Here is a 19,022-nt window from a genome sequence, read left to right on the forward strand (position 1 = left end):
TCTGACAATTATGGCACCTGACAGACCATAATAGTTAACCCAGGCCCATCCCTTCTGAGGCCACTTCCCCGCCCCCAGCTTGGCTTCTCAACCTTCCAGACAGTCCTCGAAAGCAGGGCCAGAGCTGGGGAAAGGAAGGGGAGGCAGACAATGGGAGGGGTGGTCAGAGGGAGGAAGGGGGAGGCAGAAGAAGAGACGAGGACAGGGTTAGAGAGAGAGACAGCAGGAAGGGCAGCGCAGGAGAAATTGACGAACAGGGAGCGGGAGGGGAGGAATGGGAAGACGGAAAGGCACAGAGGAGAGATGGGGGAGGGGCGAAGACTGAGGGCATCCAGGGGAGTGCTCTGGAGCCCAGGTATCGGGTAGAGGAACCCTGACCCCGAGGTTCTAGGCTGCTTGGCAGGAGTTGGGGACCATGCCCCTGCCCCTCTGCCCACCTCCCCCAGAAACTCCCCTGGCTGCCAGGAACTCAGTCCTCCCTCCTTCACTGCCTCCCTCCCTTCCTCCCTCGGGGCAGGCACTGCTTCCCAGCCAAATCCGAAGCCTTCATCTCCGCTACTCAGAGCTTGGAATGAAAGAAGGGGAAGCGAGTACAGCCCTCAAACCCGCTGACGGCCAGATTTTTATTATCTTTGCTCGAATGGGCCCTAGGAAGCCAGTGAGGGATTCTTCAAAGAGCATCTGAGTGCCTCATTGAAGCCTGCACCTGCACCAGCCCACCCACAGCAGGCAGCCAGGACTTGGGGGGCACAACCTGTCCCCCACCCCCCACAAATCCTAGAGTCCAGAGCCTCAGCTACCAGGAGACTCACCCTCAGCAGCTTGTGCCCAAGCAGGGGTCCCTAGGTCAGGAAACCAGGCTTAAAGCTAGACCTAAGTCTGCTGGGCCTCTGAGGCAGTCTGTGTCCCTCTCTGGGCCTCAAGGACATAAATGAAGAAAGAAAACAGATTTCCTTGCCAGGGCTTGGAGGAGATAAATGCTTGAGATTCCTCGAAAGAGCAGCTTTTATGGCAAGCCCTGGATCCTTCCCCTGAACTCCCTGCCTGCCCAGCACCCACAGGCCCCTTTGCAAGAGCACCCCCCACCACAGCTGCCTCTTCATGTGCCCCAGGCCTGCTACCCAGGATGACAGACGCCATGAACTGTTCTTCCTTGAGCCCCAAACTCAGCTCCCTCAGTTCAAATCCTCAACACTGTCTCCCTTCTTTCCCCAAAACCTAACCTGGGGTGGGGGTGGGGGCTCAACAAACTGGGTACTTCAAAGAGCCCAGCCGCCTCCCTCCTAAGCACTTCCAGGGCTGGGGTTTTGGCAGAGAATTCCAAGGTTGGCATAGGCAGATGGCAGCCATGCCACCCCCACCCTCTAGCTCTGACCACACTGTCGATGCCCACAGCCAAAGAAGGAATCAATGGTTCTAATTAAACCCTTTTTCCAGGGTGGGTCCCTGGCGAGAGAGAGGGAAGAGGGAGAGAGACAGGGAAGGGAGGGGGGAGAGGGGGAGAGAGAGAGAAAGAGAGAGAGAGAGCGCGAGAGTGCATCAGAGAGGCCCTGCATCCCAGTGCCCAACCCAGTATCCTGCACATCTTTAAGACGCCTGGAACCCAGCAGGGATGAGGCCACGAAGACCCCAGACCCTCCGCATTAGGCAAGGAGGCAAGTAGAGGGGCAGGGGAAAGCCTGGGGTGGGGGTAGCTCTTTGAGGGGTTCATTCGAGCGACCCTTCCCCTAGTGGAGCATCCCTCTCCACTCAGCACTCCCCGAGGACCACAGTTGCCTCTTCCAGATAGAGCTCCAGGGCACAGACAGTGGGAGCCAGAAGGGGGATTTGTGCCTCCATCCCAGCCTTGAGGGTCATCACAGAGAACCAGCCATCGTGGAAAGGGCAGAAGAAGCAGGAATTGTTGTGGGGGGACTGGACAAAGACCCTCTTGTCCCCAAGGCAGGGTGGCAGGAAGCCAGGGCAAAGCCTTTGCACTTGCTGCCAGTGGTGCCTGGGTGCCAGGCAGTCTGGGTGGGGACAGCGGGGTGGAGGGGGGGTGCATCTTATTCTTGGAAACCCTCCCCTTATGCCCAGAGCCCTCACCCCATCCCTTGCTTCTACCCCAGGCCACCAGCTAAGTCTCTGTCCCCAGCAACTCTCAGCTTGCCTGGAGCACTCCTTCCTGTGTGAATGTTCCTTCCCATGTCCCTGACACCTGTATGGAGTGGCCCATCACCAACCAGAACCAGCAAAACCCCTCAAATGCACCATAGCTGCTCCCCACATACAACCACACCAGAAACCACCACCATCACAGCTGCCACCAGTGGCGACAGCCTCACAATCTCCATCAAATGCATCATCAATTTTTAAAGATCAACAAGAGGGAAAGGGATGGGAATAAGAGAAACTGAGGCAAGGAATTAGACAGCAAAGCAGTTGGCTCAAGGTCACCCAGACCAAGATACCAAGAGTCGGGAAGAAGGTATCCTGACGACCCCCCAAAAGTGCTCAAACCCCACCCAAAGGAACATTCAGGCCCACAAACCTGGAAGTCTGGTCAGCTTCCCTCACTCCCAAGCCTCACCTGTTTCTCCCTTCCCCAAAACAGACAGCAGCTCCTCCATCTCCTTTTGAAAGGCTGCTGCCAGAAACCCCCACCCCCAGCTCGGGGAGCCCACTTTCCTTAAAGTTGGGGTGCTGCAGGACCTCCTTGTCCCACAACATTTGAGGAGGGGGGCTGGGAAGATCCCCCTCCTTGCATACTTCCCCGCGCCTGCTCACCTGGCTCCCCTCGGCCCCCAGGGTCCCTCGGTCCAGCCTCCTCCCTGGGAGAGCGGGCTCTGCCCTCCGCCGTCCTCTCCCACCAGGCCAGGGCAAAGCGCCGGAGGCACTGCCAGGGCTGCATGGGGACGCGTGGGGCTGGGGGACGAGCACCAGCAGCCGCACACGCCCCGCCGGGCCCTGACAGCTGAGCTGCGGAGGCACCCGGCCTGTCCCCTCTGCTTCCACCAGCATCCTGCTGCCCCCACCGACAGGACTCGGAGCTGGCCCGGGAGCTTCTGACGTAGCAGGGGGGTGCGTGGGAGGGGAGGGGGGGCCACGGTGCGTCCCCTTCCCAGCCCCACCCTCCACCCCTCAGCCGCCTGCCTTCCCTATCTTCTCACTCACCCTAGATGCCCTCCCCAGCTGGGGGCGCCCTCCCCTGCCCCCTGGCCTCTGCAGGGGGAGGGGTTAAGATCAAATAGCCCCTCCCTAAACCCCTCCCTCTCGTGGCCCTCCCTACCCGCTGGTAGAGCGGGGAGCTGGTCCCCAGTTTCTGCAACTGCTGCTGAGGCTCAGAGGTCTCCAGGGCTAGGGCCTCGAGGTGCGGGGAGGGGGGGTGTGTGGAATACAGGCTTGTATCCTGGCAACGCGGCCAACCCCAGAACGCACTCATCCCCTTCCCTCCCTGGAGGCTGGCGCAAAGGGCCCACCACCACCATCCTAGCCCGTGCACCCCATTCTGGGAGCTGGGGGAGGGAGGCCTTTGATGCACCCCTCACTTCTCCATCCCCTTCCCCTCCCCTGCATCCTCCACTTCCCCCACCTCGGAGGGACGCCCTTCTCCCCCCACCCTCCTCACCATCCATCCCCCTTCTTCTCCTCACCCCTCCCCCTTCCACACAAGCCCCTTTACAGTTGAACCCCTCTGGCCCCCACCCCGGGGCGTAGTGAGGCCCTCCCCACCCAGTCTCCTGCCTCGCCACCCTGCCCCCTTCTCTGGTCCCAGCACTCCTCTCGCCCGGGTCCTTCTCCCAAGCCCGGCGCACAGCGGTCCCCTGCCCCCACACACCTGCGCCCCAGCATCCCTCGCCCCGCCGGCCACCGCCTCCCCGGCCCGGCCGCCGCCCCCGCCCCCGGCCGAGGGGGAAAACACACAAAGAAAACAGAAATACCTTCCACTTAAGCATGGAGGCACATTAGGGAGGAGAGAGACAGGGACATGCCTTGGGACGGAGCGTTCCCCATCGGGCGGGGGCGCGGGGGGCGGGGGCCCCGGGCCGGCCTGCCTGGCGCTCGCCCTCTCGCCGCCTCGCGGGCTCCTCGCTCGGCCCCAGCCCCGGGGCGCGGTGCCAGGCGGGCGGGCCGGGGGCGCGGGCCCCGCCGGGGTGGACCAGCTGGGAGGGCGCCGGCGGCCGGGCGTGTGGGTGAGCGCGCGCGCGGGCGTGTCACCGAGTGTGCGAGAGCGAGTGTGTGTGTGTTTGAGTGTGTGTCTGCGCGCGCGCGGGCCGGCGCGGGTGTGTCACTGCGGGCGGGCGCGCGCGCGGCGCGGGCGCGCGCGTGTGGCCGGAACTTACAAAGGGCCGCCCGGGGCGGCGGGGGCGGGGGAGGGGAGGGGGCACTGCGCCTTCTCGCGCCCTCCAGCTTCACCGCGTGATCCCGCAGCGCGCGGCCGGGGCCGGGCGCGGGGCGCGCTCACTCTCTCCTTCCCGCGCCACCTGCTTCGTCCCACCCCAAGTAGTCTTCGCGCCACGATAGAGACAAATACATTGACCGAGGACCGGCTCGGAGGAGGCACCCGGGGAAGCGGGGACACTTGGAGGGTGGAGGACTCCTGGGTCTCCAAGCCCGGGCGCGCCTAGGGATGGAAAGGCTCTCGGGGCTGGGTGGGGAGGCGGGGCGGCGAGACTGGGGGCTCCCTTCAGCCAAGGTGACCGCGGAAACCAACAGCCGCCCCATGCTGGGAGCGCCCGGATCCTCCTCTGCTTCTGCCTCGCGACCCCTCACCCCAGCGCGCCTAGACGCGGCTCGGTCGGAGGGTCTGGGCTCCCCGGCGCCCCCTGCTGGGCCGCCGCCTCGCCCCCGCTCCGGGTTGCAGCCCCTCCTGCAGGCGTGCGCGGGAACTGCAGGCAGGTCCGCGCCCCTCCGGCCAGTGAGACCCCACCGTAGGACGCTCCAGCGACGGTCCCTGCTCACGCCTCGCTTGGCGGCGTCACTGCCGCCTCTACTTCAGCCCGCAGAGCACTAGCTCGGCTCCACCCTGCCGTCCCCCGCCCCTCCGCGTCCCACCTTCGTTGGCCTACCTGTTGGCTCCGCAGACTTCTCCAGCGCTGACCCGGACCCAGACCCAGACCCAGGCCCGCGCCGACACCTCGTGATTCCAGCGGCCCCCTCCCTCCCTCGCTCCGATGCTCTGGCCAGTCCCTTCTCTCTCAAGCTTTCTTGCGGAGGAGAAGGTGGGCTGAGTCCCCTGTCCCTTTTATTTACTTCTGGAGTTTCCAAAAGCAGTTTAGGTGAGCAAGAGAGTGGACACAGTACTTCTATTCACTGTGGGCCATCAGGCAGAGTGGCAGGCAGGCAGAGAGCCCAGGAGAGGAGACCCCACCCCAAGTGGCCCAAATGACAAACCGGTTTCCCCACTTCCTGGTCTACCCAGTTGCAACCTTAATCTGGGCTCTCCCAATTTCCTATCCACCCCCAGGCCTGCCCCTGAGCCAACCACATGCCCAGCTAGGGACAAGGTCCCAGATTCCCCTTAGAGATAAATAACCAATTGCAGTAACTCAGATGCCAGGGCCAGGACCAGAGGAGAGGCCCTTCCCAGCTCCAGTGGGACAGATCAGGAGGACAGCCAAGAGCTGTGTCCTGGACACACAGTCTGGGCACACGACCCCAGCGGCAGGCACCCTGACTTCTTCCCTCCTGGGCCAACTGCCTCTCCCTCTGCCAACTGGATGGTGCCCATCTTTTGGCCTCTGAGCGCACAGTGGGCATCCATCCAGTGCCCTGCCTGGCTGCCTGCCCAGGATGGGCATGGGAGGCAGCAGGCTCTGTGTGGGGGAGGCTCAGGGGAGGCAAGGGTAGCTTCCCCTCAGCACACGGACACCACCTCCCAAGCGGCTGGGAGCCCAGAGCTCTGGCACAGGTCGCTCCTCCGTTCAGATTCCTCACCCACTGACTGCACAGGACTCCTGCCCTTCACCTGCCCCCAACTCAGATTCCCCCCAAGGGACAAGATTTCTTCCCTCCCCCACTTTGTGCCTAAGGGGAAGAAAATTAGCAGGTGCTCTACCATAATCTCTAATTTTACCCTTTCGACAGCCTGATGGAAGTGAGCATTTTCAACCCCCTATCAGAGAGATATAGCCAATTGCCCAATGTAAGAGCAGCAAAGTTGAAATTCAAACCCACATCTGCCTTATGTCAAAGCTCCCTGCCTTTCTTCTATCACCATCATCTCATAACCCTGTGGGTCGCCACAGCAGGGACAACCCCTGGGACACAAAGTCTCATAACCATATAGTCGTTAGAAGAGAACTGAGATCAGGAATGTGGCTGAGAGTTAAGATGTATAGCCATGCCATAATCAGGAAGGAGACAGGGATCTGGTCCTATTGTGGAGAGAGTGACCTGAGGCATTACCTCTAGTTGACAATTGAAAAGATGCTTGTGCCATCATGTGGAGATTTGCCTGCCCAACCCCAGTGGCTTGGGGTGGGGTGGGAAAGGTTCTGTGATGCAGCCCCCAGGGATTGGAACAGTTCCAAAGGTGTCAGCAGAACGAAGCATCCATTTTTACCCGCCCTAAGGTGAGCTCGCTCATCATGAAGGCCACCTCCATAGTGAGGAGCTTAAATCAGATTTATGTAATATTTTTAATTTGTATAGCTCACCTTTTAATGATGAATCCTTAGCATTTCTGATCATCTTCATAGCTATCAGCTCATTTGAGACCCTTCTGCCCTCTCTTCCCCAAAGATGCTTTGTCCACACCCACCCTGCCCAGCTGACTCCATGGGTCTCCTGGAGGGGTGAGAAGGGATACAGCTCCCTGAATAGAACCCAAGGTCCCAAGGCTGAAAGTGGAGCCAGAGGACAGATGGCCTGGCATCATCGCCCCTCATTGACCCCAAGAAAAATACGTGCCTTTCCCTCCTCCCACCAGGTCTCAAAAGGAGGGGTTCCTGGTGGAGAGAGAAGGCTGGGGACACCATCTCCACTGATCAGGGCAAAAGCAACACAGGTATTACTTCAGCTGAGAGATGAGAATTGCTCCTGTAAGCTGGCATGGTGCCCAGGCACAACCAATTTGCCAGCTGCCTCCACCTGAGATGCCTCAGGTGCCGCCCCGCCCCCGCTCTCATTCCTCAACAGGTAACTTCCCTCTGGTCCTCCTCTCCTGTGCCTCTGGCAGTGTATTTGGTGGGGAGGGGGCAGCTGGCATGTTTGGGGCTTGGAACAGCAGATCCTAACCACTCACCTTGCCTCCCCAAACATCCCACCCAGCCCTCACCTGTTCCTGGGAGCTTGCGAGAGAGAGGTTATGGGGGTGCACCCTAGAGGAGAGAATTCTCAGCCCTGCCTCTCCTTCCCCAAGATGCAATAGGAACAGGGGTTGCATCTGGACAAACATCTGGGCAGGCAAAGGGAGATGGGCCTTGGGGTGGGCAGAGAAGGGCATCTGGGCCTCTAGGAGAAGGCACAGGGAAAAGGTGACGTGGAAATAATGGCTGGGACACCCCAAACTGGTCACTCTGCTGCTTTGGAGCACCCCCAGCCCAGTATCCTTGAGAAAGCCCCCGGTCCATGGGGCTGTTGTCTGGCCAGGCATTTCATGAGACCCCAAGGAACCATCCACATTCCACTAAGGGTGGCCTGCAGACAGTGAGGGCCTGGGGACCTGGTCCTATTCTGGGTCAAGTAACCAGGGGCAGTGACCTAGCACCTGGGGCACAAGAGGGGTGGGGGAGGAGCCAAGGAGGAGGAGGGTGCTTCCCGCTGCCCCAGGCCTGCTTCTGGGGCTTTCTGAACACAGCCTGGTCTCCCAGAGCCCCTAAGCCTCCCTTCTCACATTCCTCACCCTCCTGCTCCTCCTCCCACTCCATAGGAGAGGAGTGAGTGGCAGTAAATTTCTAAAGACCCTCCCCGCTTCCCTGCTTGTTATTGTAATGAATGCTAATGATGCTCCCTAACTGATGCCCTCATTAGCACATCAAACCCGCTTTCTGAAGAATGGAGACAGAAAGTGGAGGCAGGTTCTCTGGGGTCGGAGCCGTAGCCAGCCTCCTCCAGAGAACCTTATCCCGTTGCTTCTGGCAGGGAGGGACCAGCGTAGGGGCTTGGAGTGAAAAGCCGAGGTGTTCCCCTCCCAGTGGGAATTTCCTGAGCACAAGGCTGTCTTCCCTGTCAGATGGCAAGGGTTCCATCTGTCCCATCAGACTGGGAGCTCCTTGAGTCAGGCACCTTGCCCCCCTCATTAAGCCAGGGCTCCCCCTGTGGTAGGGCAGTGGCTCTGAAAGTAATTGGAAAAGCCCAGTTGCCTGGAGGGCATGTTAAACCAGCGATTGCTCCCCTCCCCTCAAGGTCTCAGATTCAACAGATTTGAGGAGGGGCCTGAGAATTCGCATTTCTTTTTTCTTTTCTTTTCTCTTTTTTTTTGAGATAGAATCTCACTCTGTCACCCAGGCTGGAGTTCAGTGGCTCGATCTCGGCTCACTGCAACCTCTGCCTCCCGGGCTGAAGCGATTCTCCTGCCTCAGTCTCCCGAGTAGCTGGGATTATAGGCACCCACCACAATGCCCAGCTAATTTTTGTATTTTTAGTAGAGACCGGGTTTCACCATGTTGGCCAGGCTGGTCTCGAACTCCTGACCTCAGGTGATCCACCCGCCTCAGCATCCCAAAGTGCTGGGATTATAGGCGTGAGCCACCGTGCCCGGCCCCACCCTGACAATTCTTTTTTTTTTTTTGAGATGGAGTTTCACTTTTGTTGCCCAAACTGGAGACCGGAACTGGATCCCTGATCCCCTGCTGTGTGCCAGGTCCATGCTCGGTGCTGCTGATGCCAGTGGATCTCCTTTCTCTGTAGGAGGGGAGAATAACCGCAAGGGAGAGGGTTCCTAGCACCCACCTCACTCTGGGTGACCTCCCAGGGCCTAAGTGGGGAGAGGGGCTTGTGGCTACAGTCCATAAGCATGCCTGCAGCTCCCCACCTCCTCCCTTCCCACTTGGTCCCTTAGGCATAAGAATTGTCGGGATGGGGCCGGATGCGGTGCTCACCCCTGTAATCCCAGCACTTTGGGAAGCCCAGGCAGGCGGATCACCTGAGGTCAGAAGTTCGAGACCAGACCGGCTAATATGGTGAAACCCTGTTTCTACTAAAAATACAAAAAATTAGTTGGGCATGGTGTCAGGTGCCTGTAATCCCAACTACTTGGGAGGCTGAGGCAGGAGAATCACTTGAACCTGGGAGGCAGAGGTTGCAGTGAGCTGAGATCGCGCCATTGCACTCCAGCTTGGGCAACAAAAGTGAAACTCCATCTCAAAAAAAAAAAAAAAAAGGAATTGTCGGGGTGGGGCCGGGCGAGGTGGCTCATGCTAGGCGAGGTGGCTCACGCTGTAATCCCAGCACTTTGGGAGGCCAAGGCAGGTGGATCACCTGAGGTCAGGAGTTGAGACCAGCCTGGTCAACATGGAGAAACGCCATCTCTACTAAAAATACAAATATTAGCCGGGCGTGGTGGCACGCGCCTGTAAGCCTAGCTACTCGGGAGGCTGAGGCACGAGAATCACTTGAACTCAGGAGGCGGAGGTTACAGTGAGCCGAGATCACACCACTGCACTCCAGCCTGGGTGACAGAGCAAGACTTTTTCTCAAAAAACAAACAAACAAAAAAGAATTGCCCGGGTGGGTGGGTGAGTGAACTGCAACCTTAGTGCTCTAGTTGGGGGAGGAGGGAGACAGGAGACTGGAGCTGGAGTGAAGAGATGGAGGGTGAGGGGAGGGGGCAAACAGAATTGGGATGAAGAGAAGATGAGAGGTGGAGAAAAACAGAAGAAAAGGGAAGAAGAGGGGAAGCAGGAGGGAGGGAGGGGAGGAAAGAGAGAAGAAGAGAGGGAGGGATGTATGGAGAGATGGAAAGAGTGAAAGAAGGCCTTTGACAGGGAAAGGGAAAAGACAAGAAAGATGAGGCCAGGGCAGGGAGGAGGAGAAGGAAGGTACAGTCTGTATCTGTCCTTAACAGGACATATTATGAGCCACTGAGGCCCAGGTAGACCACAAGCCCAACTCCTGCAGGGCCACACCCAGCTTGACTTTAAGGCTCTAGATTTCACCATCTGATTCACATGTCTTGGGGAAAAAAATGGAAGACTCCTTCCACCTCCAGCTAGCTGCCTTCCCAGGCCTGCCAACCAGCCTTAGAAGACTGTGGTAGAAGGTGCAGGGCATGGAGCCGGTACTATCCTGATCCGTTTTACCCCTGCTAGCACCTAGTAACCATCTCCTTGCCTTCCAAGGTTATAGCAATCCCCTAGTTAATGATGAAAGTAGGAAGAACTCTCGTGCATTGCTGATGGGAATGTGAAATGGTTCAGCAGCTATGGAAAGCAGTTTGGCAGTTCTTTAAACATAGAATGACCCTATGATCCAACAGCCCAAATGTCCTTCAGTGGATGAATGGATACACAAATTGTGGTATATCCATACAATGGAATACTATTCATCCATAAAAAGGAATGAAGTACTAATACATGCTTCAACATGGATGAACCTCAAAAACATCATGCTGGCTGGGCACCGTGGCTCAGGCCTGTAATCCCAGTGCTATGAGAGGCCAAGGCAGGATAATTCCTTGAGGCCAGGCGTTCGAGGCCAGCCTGGGCAATGTAGCAAGCCCCTATCTTTACAAAAAAATCCCCAGTCCCCACCAAAATATCATGTTAAGTGAAAGAAGCCAGTCATTAAAAGTCATATATTGTGTGATTCCATTTATATGAAATATTCAGAATAGGTAAATCCACAGAGATTTGCCTGGAGAGACGGGAGAACAGGGAGCAACTGTTAATGGGTATGAGGTTTCCATTTGGGATGATGAAAACGTGCTGGAACTATATAGAGTTGATGGTTGCACAGTATTATGAAAGCACTAAATGCCACTGAGTTGTTCACTTTATAATGGTTAGTTTTATTAATATACTATGCAAATCTCGCCTCAGAAAACAAAGTAATAATGAAAGTAGGAGTCTGCCAGGGAATTCAATGAGTAGAACCATCTGAAAAGTTCAGCTTATCTTCTTTGGAACAAAAGAGCTTGTGCCCACATGAGTCACAGCCTTTCCCGGTGTGCTGGAACACTGGGCACTGCTCTGAGGACTCTCAGAGGATGCTCGTAGGACCTTGAGATGTTTTCTGGCCCCAGGCTGCTCCCCGAAGCCTCTTCCTCTGCCTAGCCCTCACTCCATGGGGGCCTCCCTTTCAGGTTCCTGCCTCCCAAGCAGGTGGCAGACAGTTGATCTGTGCTTCGCATCTTCAGCTAACATCGTGCCATCTGCCCCAGTGGCAGGTCCACCCCTCTCTGATCCTTTGCTCCGAACATAGCCTTCAAAGCCCTCTAGTTTTCTTTACCACAATTTTTTTTTTTTTTTTAGTAAGTGCAGTGATGCGATCTTGGCTCACTGCAACCTCTGCCTCCCGAGTTCAAGTGATTCTCCTGCCTCAGCCTCCTGAGTAACTGGGATTACAGGCACGTGCCACCACGCCCGGCTAATTTTTGTATTTTTAGTAGAGATGGGGTTTCACCACGTTGGCCAGGCTGGTCTTGAACTCCTGACCTCAAGTGATCTGCCCACTTCGACCTCCCAAAGTGCTGGGAGTACAGGCCTACCACAGATTGTTTTCATCACCCCTTAAGTGAACCTCCTGCTCTCTGGAATCTCACATTCCCCACAGCACTCTCCCCACATGCCAGGCCCTGGGCTGCCTGCTCAGGGTGCAGCAGAGTGGGGAGGAGTTCCAGGGTGAATCAGGCTGTTCACTGCTCCTCCCTGCTCCAAAGCTTCCTATAGCCCCTTCTGCTCAAAGATCTTCCATGGCTCCCCATTCTCACACCAAGGGATTATAGGAACCTGAACCCTTTGAGGTCCTAACAAGAATTTTGCATTCTCTGTAAATAAATAAATGTGCCCATGTACAAGAAATGAGTGGGCCTCTTTGACCTCTGCAGCCCATCCAAGGACCTCTAAGGCAGAGCTACTCAAAGTGTGGTCCATAGACCAGTGCCAGCCACTGGTTCACAAGAATACAGAAATGGAGAGTAAGCACTGAGAAACCTTTATAGCGATTGCCTGTACATCTAGGCACATGACCACTTTTACTGTATTTTACAAAAATATGGGTATGCAATCAATTGGAAATTTTTTTAAAAGGCGGGGGTAGTCCTTCATTACAGAGTTTGAGAAACACTACCCTAAGGACCCTTTCACTGCTGACCTACTCAATAAATTCAGGCTGGCATTCCAGGCCCTCCACGACCCCATCCTCTAATCTTTCCAGCCTTATTTCTGGCTACCTCCCACAACACACACACACCCACACACACACACACACAATCTTCCCTTCACACTCCATGTCTTTGCCTATACTGTTCCCCTCCCCCATGGGGTTGTCCTTTCCTTCCTCTGCACCTGTTGACACCTGATTCTGGCCTCAAAGCCCAGCTCAAATTCCATTTCCTCAGTAAAGCCTTTCCAAATTCCACCCCCTTCCTTCCTTACACACATAAGCAAACACACAAACATATTCTAGCTGAACTTTGCACTCCCCTGGGCTTTCCTAACACCCATGTAGCTTTCTTTGTGGCCGTCTGTCTCTTCCTAGCCAAGGCAGAGCTGTGGTCCTCTCTGCCGGTGCCTCCTGGCCTCTCCCGCTCTGGGATGTCCAGCACCTCGCTGCATGGATTCTGGGCATTGCTATCCTGATTTGTACCCCACTCCCCTGGCCTCTCCTGTGGTTGCTCCTTTGTGTCCACCCATCTTCTGTGCTGGCCCCTCTGAGCTCCCCTCAGCAAGGACTCCATCCCACTCCCTGCCCCACTCCTGACTTCACCTCATCACCTGGGAGATCCGACCCTCTCAGCAATAACTGCTGGTATATGACTGGGACCAAAAATTAGTGACATCTTGACATGTTAAGAACTGTAAAAAAAGGCTGGGTGCGGTGGCTCACACCTGTAATCCCAACACTTTGGGAGGCTGAGGTAGGCAGATCATGAAATCAAGAGATCCAGACCATCCTGGCCAACATGGTGAAACCCCATCTCCATTAAAAATACAAAAATTAGTTGGGCGTGGTGGCGCGTACCTGTAGTCCCAGCTACTTAGGAGGTTGAGGCAGGGGAATCGCTTGAACCTGAGAGGCAGAGGTTGCATTAAGCATTGAGCCGAGATTGCGCCACTGCACTCCAGCCTGGCAACAGAGCGAGACTCCGTCTCAAAAAACAAAAACAAAACGAAAAAAAAAACACTGTAAAAAAATACTGGCAGGGCGTGGTGGCTCATGCCTGTAATCCCAGCACTTTGGGAGGCCGAGGCAGGCAGATGCTTGAGCCCAGGAGTTCCAGATCAGCCTGGGCAACGTGGCAAAACCCTGTCTCTCTCTTTTTTTTTTGAGACAGAGTCTTGCTCTGTCACCCAGGCTGGAGTGCAGTAGCACAATCTCAGCTCACTGCAACCTCTGCCTCCCGGTTTCGAGCGATTCTCCTGCCTCAACCTCCTGAGTAGCTGGGATTACAGGCATGTGCCACCACGCCCGGCTAATTTTTGTATTTTTAGTAGAGACGGGGTTTCACCATGTTGGTCAGGCTGGTCTTGAACTCCTGACCTCGTGATCCACCCACCTGGGCCTCCCAAAGTGCTGGGATTACAGATGTGAGCGACTGCACCCGGCCAACGCTGTCTCTATTAAAAATACAAAAAATTAGTTGGGCATGGTGGCACATGCCTGTAGTCCCAGCTACCCAGGAGGCTGAGGTGGGAGGATCACTTGAGCCTGGGAGGCAGAGGTTGCAGTGAGCCGAGATCATGCCACTGCACTCTAGCCTAGACGACAGACTGAGACTATCAAGAAAAAAAGGAAAGAAAAAAGAAAGTAAAATAATACATTTTGCTTATTTTTTATTTTATTTTATTTTTTGAGACAGTGTTGCTCTGTCGCCCAGGCTGGAGTGCAATGTCCCAATCTTGGCTCACTGCGACCTCCACCTCCCAGGTTCAAGTGATTCTCCTGCCTCAGCTTCCTGAGTAACTGGGATGACAGGTGCCCACCACTACACCCAGCTAATTTTTGTATTTTTAGTAGAGATGGTTTCACCACATTGGCCAGGCTGGTCTCAAACTCCTGATCTCAGGTGATCCAACCGCTTTGGCCTTCCAAAGTGCTGGGATTACAGACCTGAGCCACTGCGCCAAGCCCATAAGTGTTTCAAATGAATCATTATTTCTAGTTTTGCCCTGATTAGTGGATCCATAGCAACCAATCTTCCTCGATTTGGCCACATTTTTCTATTTATGCGAATTAGCCAGGTGTGATGGTGCACACCCGTAGTCCCAGCTATTCAAGGGGCTGAGACAGTAGGGTCACTTGAGCCCAGGAGGTGGACACTGCAGTGAGCCATGATTACACCACTGCACTCCAGCCTGGGCAATAGAGTGCGACCTTGTCTCAAAAAAAAAAAAAAAAAAAAAAAAAAAAGAAGAAGAAGAAGAAGGAAGAAGAAGCAGTTCAGCTTCATCAGAGTTAGAAAAATGCCTCAAGAATTCTGCCCACCTTGAGAAAGAGAGGGAAGGAGGGCATGTTTCATCTGAAAAGGGAGAAACTAAAATAATGATCACCGTGTGTGTGAAGGAGGAGACAAGCCAGGGAACACTCTAGGGGTTTCATGTCAGCAAGAGAGACTGAAATTAGCTCTGAGTGTGAACCTCCTGGCAGTGCAGGAGGGATGATGAAGGCCTGGCACCAGGGGGAGGATGCTGGGTGACTTCCTATTCAGAGATCATTCAACCAGGATTAAGGGTGGAGGCCCAGCCAGGCCTGCTGGGAGGCAGAGGACCGGAGCAGGTGACCACTTAAGCTGCCATGCAAGGGCAGAGCCTCGCCGACAGGGAGAGGCTGAGAAACGGATTATTAAGGCAGGGTCCAGAGCTTTAGAGTCTTCAAAGCAACCCCATAATCAAGGCTTCAAGGAGGCAAGCCAGGATTACGAATAACCTGTTTTCCTGATGAGAAAACTGAAGCCCAGAGAAGTTAAGAAACTTGTTTGAGGCCTCACAGGTGAGCCAGGACTTGAGCCCAGACCCTCAGTTCTTCAGTCCAGTGAGATGACCCCCACTGCCCTGCCTCTTGGGGCCAGAAGCTTCCCAGATAGGACCCAGGCCTCCTTTCTTGGTGGCTCTGTGAACTTCCTTAGGCCTTCTGCACCCCCACACCCCCATGCCACCCTCTCCACCAACACCCCAGCCACACAGCCCCAGAACAGGGCAGGGACCGCGGGGAGAGGCTGCAAATCCCTCTCCTAACAACTGAACTGAGGGAGGAAGGAGGTGGGAACAGGTCCCAAACTTCCATCTCACTTGTCCTCGCCCGTCTCCGTCTCAGACTCTCGTGATAGGAAAGTAGGCCAGTTTGGAATATGTCACGGATATTTTCAACAACCCCATCTGTACTATAGCTTCGCACACAGCCTACCGGGGTGGAGCCAGAGGCTTCCTGCCGGATGAGGAATACACCTGCTACCTCTGGGGCTCAGAGCCCAGATGGGGGCTGGGGACGTACACAGGGGACTCTGAAGGGCCAGGCATCCAGCAGTCAGGGTAGGGCGGGACAGGAGACCAGCTGTGTCTGTCCTCTTCCCAGAGCAGCGGGAGCAGAACAGCTGGGACCTACAGACACCATTCCACTGCCCTGCGACAGTGTGCCCTCCCAGCCTGTGGGTGGGGCACTGAGGAAGGAGCAATCAGTCCTCAGGGAAAGGGATCTGGAAAAGCTTTATGACAGAGGTGGCTGACATCTGAGTTGGGCCTTGAAAGCAAAGCAGGGTTTTGCTGAGTGGAAAAGAGGAGGAGGGTGTCTCTGGCCAAGGGAGAATGTTGAGAAAGCTGGGGCCAGCGCGCCGGGGCCAGCGTGCGGGAGCTGGTATGGCTTGGGGGTAGAGGGCTGCCCAGGGAGTGGCAGCAGGAGAGGCTGGGAGGTGGCAGGCTAGCGTTGGAGGAGCTGTGAATGGTGGATGCCCAGCTAAGGAGCTTCAGGTGGGCCCTGCAGGTGCCCACGGAGGCTTTTAAGTGATGTGATTCAGGAAGAACATGTAGCTATGGGCAGGAAGGAGTCAACTTGGGAGGGGCAGGGATGCAGAGGTTGAGTGAGTGTCCCTTCTGGACACCAGACACCCTGACCACATCCTTCTCCAGTCCACTAGCAGGGTAACCTCTCCTGACTGGGGAGAGAGGCCAATGTAAGAAATAAATTCCTTGTAAAAGTATTAGTGACAGCCAGGTGAGGTGGCTCACGCCTGTGATCCCAGCACTCTGGGAGGCCAAGGCGGGCAGATGACTTGAGCCCAGGAATTTGAGAACAGCCTGGACAACATAGCAAAATCCCATCTCTACAAAATAAAATGCAAGAATTAGCCAGGCATGGTGGTCTCAGCTACTCGGGAGGCTGAGGTGGGGGTATCACTTGAGCCCAAGAGGCCAAGGCTGCAGTGAACCATGATCATACCACTGCACTCTAGCCTGAGCAACAGAGCAAGACCCTGTCTTAAAAAAAAAAAAAGAGAGAGAGAGAGAGAGAGATAGAGATGATAGAGGCTTACTAGCTCAAGGGGACCAAGGTCAGGTCAGGGATGCATTTCAGGGGATTCACCTGGAAAGGCTGGCCCAGGGGACACCCACATGCTTTTGTTTACTAAGCACCACCTGCTATAGGCACTTGGCAGCATGGCCTTATTTAACCTTACAACAAGGCCAAGTGGTGCACATGCTTCCCTCCTTTCTATTGATGTGGAAACAGAAGCTCAGGAAGTTCGGGTCCCATCCCCAAAGTCCCACAGTTTGTAAGTGGCATAAGAATTTGGATCCATGTGTCTCCAGAGCCCAGTACATTCCCTTCATCTCTTTTTTGTTTGTTTGTTTGTTTTTGAGACGGAGTCTTGCTCTGTTGCCCAGGCTGGAGTGCAGTGGCACAATCTCGGCGCACGGCAAGCTCCGCCTCCCAGGTTCACGCCATTTTCCTGCCTCAGCCTCCCGAGTAGCTGGGACTACAGGCGCCCGCCTCCATGCCCGGCTAATTTTTTGTATCTTTAGTGGAGACAGGGTTTCACCATGTTGGCCAGGATGGTCTCGATCTCCTGACCTTGTGATCCACCCGCCTCAGCCTCCCAAAGTGCTGGGATTACAGGTGTGAGCCACCGTGCCTGGCCCTATCCCCTTCATCTCTTACCACCTCCCAGAACAGAGCCACGACTCCCTTCCAAAGAAGGGCCCCAACCTTTACCCCCTCTCACTGTCTCTACCCAGATCCAGGGCTCCAGGGCCCCATGGCAACCCCACAACCCTAACTACACTCAGATAAAGAAACTGAGGCCGAGCAATGGCTCATACCTGTAACCCCAGCATTTTGAGAGGCCAAGGTGGGCAGATCACTTGAGACCAGGAGTTCAAGACCAGTCTGGCCAACATAGTGAGACCCCATATCTCCTAAAAATACAAAAATTAGCTGGGTGTGGTGGTGCCTGTAATCCCAGCTACTTAGGAGGCTGAGGCAGGAGAATCACCTGAACCCAGAGGTGGACGTTGCAGTGAGCCGATATCGTGCCACTGCCCAGCCTGGGTGACAGAGTGAGACTCTGTCTCTAAAACAAAACAAAACAAAAAGAAACAGGTTCAGAAGCATCAAGTGACTTGCCCGACGACACAAGTTAATTTGTGACGTAGGCAGAATTCAGAGCCAGATCCCTTCTCACACCTACCCACTCTGCCTTTCAGCCCTGTGTCTCTGGCAGTTTATTTGGTCGGGAGGGGGCATCTGGCATGTTTGAGAGCGCTCAGCCTCTGTGTTTCCCAGTTTCTTCATCTGTAAAATGGGCCTGGGAGGGTTAGTGAGAGTGCACAGGTACAAGTCACTCAGCACAGTGACTGGTATGCACTCAACACTCAACAAATATTTATTGAGCAACTACTAGGAGCAAGATCATCTTTCAGTGGTTGGGGCACAACCAGAAACAGAAATAATCTGCTCTTCCAAAGTGGATATTAAGATGAGGATTGAGAGGAGAATGGGCCAGAGGCACAGGGAATGTGCCCCATAAATGCTCCCACTGAGTCCCACCTTCTGGCTGTGGGAGCTTGAGCAAGTCTCTCTGGTGTGCTCTACGTGTGGATCTAGAAATTGGGAAGAAGGCGGAAGAAGCTCCCCACTGTGTAGCCGCTATGTATTACTATCACTGCCAGCCTCTGTGGTGAGCAGCCCTGTTCCAACCCCTGTGAGACCAGCAAAGCCCTTCCCAACCCTGCTCTGTTTTTGGCCACATCTGGGTCAGGCAGACGGGTGCACGCTTTGCCTTCTGTTCCCTCCCTTCCAGGACCCACAGCTCTGCTCCTTGTCCTGTTGCAGACTCACAGCTGCCCAGCCCCCGTCCAGGCCCAGCCCTGAATCCGACGCAAGCATCCTGTCGGAGGCTGTAAGGGCTGGTGTTCAGGGGACACCTTTGAGGCCCTGATGCTGCCCTGAGCGTCGGGCTCCAACTCCTTACTTCCAAGGGTTGGGCTGCACTTCTGGCCAAAATCAAGGAGCTCCTCACAGAAAGACAAGGAAATCAAGGTCTAGCTCTAGGAACATAAAATAATCATAGTTGGGGTAATTCTTAAGCACTTAGGATATTATTTTATTTAGTTCCATCTGCGAGTATAAAACCCCATTTTAGAGTTGATAAAACTGAGGCTCAGAAAAGTGAAGTGACTTGCCTGAGGCATCCAAAGCCCCTCTCTTCTTTACTTCCAGATTGATGGAAACACTTGGCTCTGAATCCCTGGACTGTGTGTCCAACTTCCAGGCCGTGGCTGGACTCCAGTCCCCAAGTGTAACCAGAGGCAGGGGATCTGGGACCCCAGGACTGGGGAGAAAGAGTCTGGCACCTCCCCATGGCTGTTGCGGCTCACATTGTCCCTTTCAGGAACAGCTGCTGCTCAGTCTCCTTCACCCCCAACCTCAGGGTCAGGAAGTGGGGC

At 55.4% G+C, this 19,022-nt stretch overlaps 1 protein-coding gene across 8 annotated transcripts in view, besides 4 other annotated features; it reads right to left on the minus strand.

The window, feature by feature from the left end:
- Positions 1 to 5,313, minus strand: part of SRCIN1 (SRC kinase signaling inhibitor 1) — a 76,995-nt gene extending 71,682 nt beyond the window's left edge. For 5 of the 8 annotated variants that reach the window (XM_017025172.2, XM_017025171.2, XM_017025170.2 and 2 more), the window contains exon 1: positions 2,767 to 3,006. In XM_017025172.2, the coding sequence (XP_016880661.1) occupies positions 2,767 to 2,890 (124 nt within the window). In that variant the 5' untranslated portion in view covers positions 2,891 to 3,006. Of the gene's footprint in view, positions 1 to 2,766; positions 3,007 to 3,971; positions 4,241 to 5,048 lie in introns of those variants that run through there. The other 3 variants (XM_017025169.2, XM_047436852.1, NM_025248.3) reach the window with 2 other exon arrangements.
- Positions 5,100 to 5,701: an enhancer, noted in NCBI's record as "H3K4me1 hESC enhancer chr17:36763065-36763666 (GRCh37/hg19 assembly coordinates)". NCBI's record gives its function as "activates a minimal SCP1, AML or CMV promoter by ChIP-STARR-seq in naive H9 embryonic stem cells {active_cell/tissue: H9 hESC(naive)}" and the evidence as "EXISTENCE:reporter gene assay evidence [ECO:0000049][PMID:30033119]".
- Positions 5,702 to 6,302: an enhancer, noted in NCBI's record as "H3K4me1 hESC enhancer chr17:36763667-36764267 (GRCh37/hg19 assembly coordinates)". NCBI's record gives its function as "activates a minimal SCP1, AML or CMV promoter by ChIP-STARR-seq in naive H9 embryonic stem cells {active_cell/tissue: H9 hESC(naive)}" and the evidence as "EXISTENCE:reporter gene assay evidence [ECO:0000049][PMID:30033119]".
- Positions 7,446 to 8,116: an enhancer, noted in NCBI's record as "OCT4-NANOG-H3K27ac-H3K4me1 hESC enhancer chr17:36765411-36766081 (GRCh37/hg19 assembly coordinates)". NCBI's record gives its function as "activates a minimal SCP1, AML or CMV promoter by ChIP-STARR-seq in primed H9 embryonic stem cells {active_cell/tissue: H9 hESC(primed)}" and the evidence as "EXISTENCE:reporter gene assay evidence [ECO:0000049][PMID:30033119]".
- Positions 17,903 to 18,413: an enhancer, noted in NCBI's record as "H3K4me1 hESC enhancer chr17:36775868-36776378 (GRCh37/hg19 assembly coordinates)". NCBI's record gives its function as "activates a minimal SCP1, AML or CMV promoter by ChIP-STARR-seq in primed H9 embryonic stem cells {active_cell/tissue: H9 hESC(primed)}" and the evidence as "EXISTENCE:reporter gene assay evidence [ECO:0000049][PMID:30033119]".

This window comes from Homo sapiens, chromosome 17 (genome assembly GCF_000001405.40).
Source record: "Homo sapiens chromosome 17, GRCh38.p14 Primary Assembly".
Classification (NCBI taxonomy): Eukaryota; Metazoa; Chordata; class Mammalia; order Primates; family Hominidae; genus Homo; species Homo sapiens.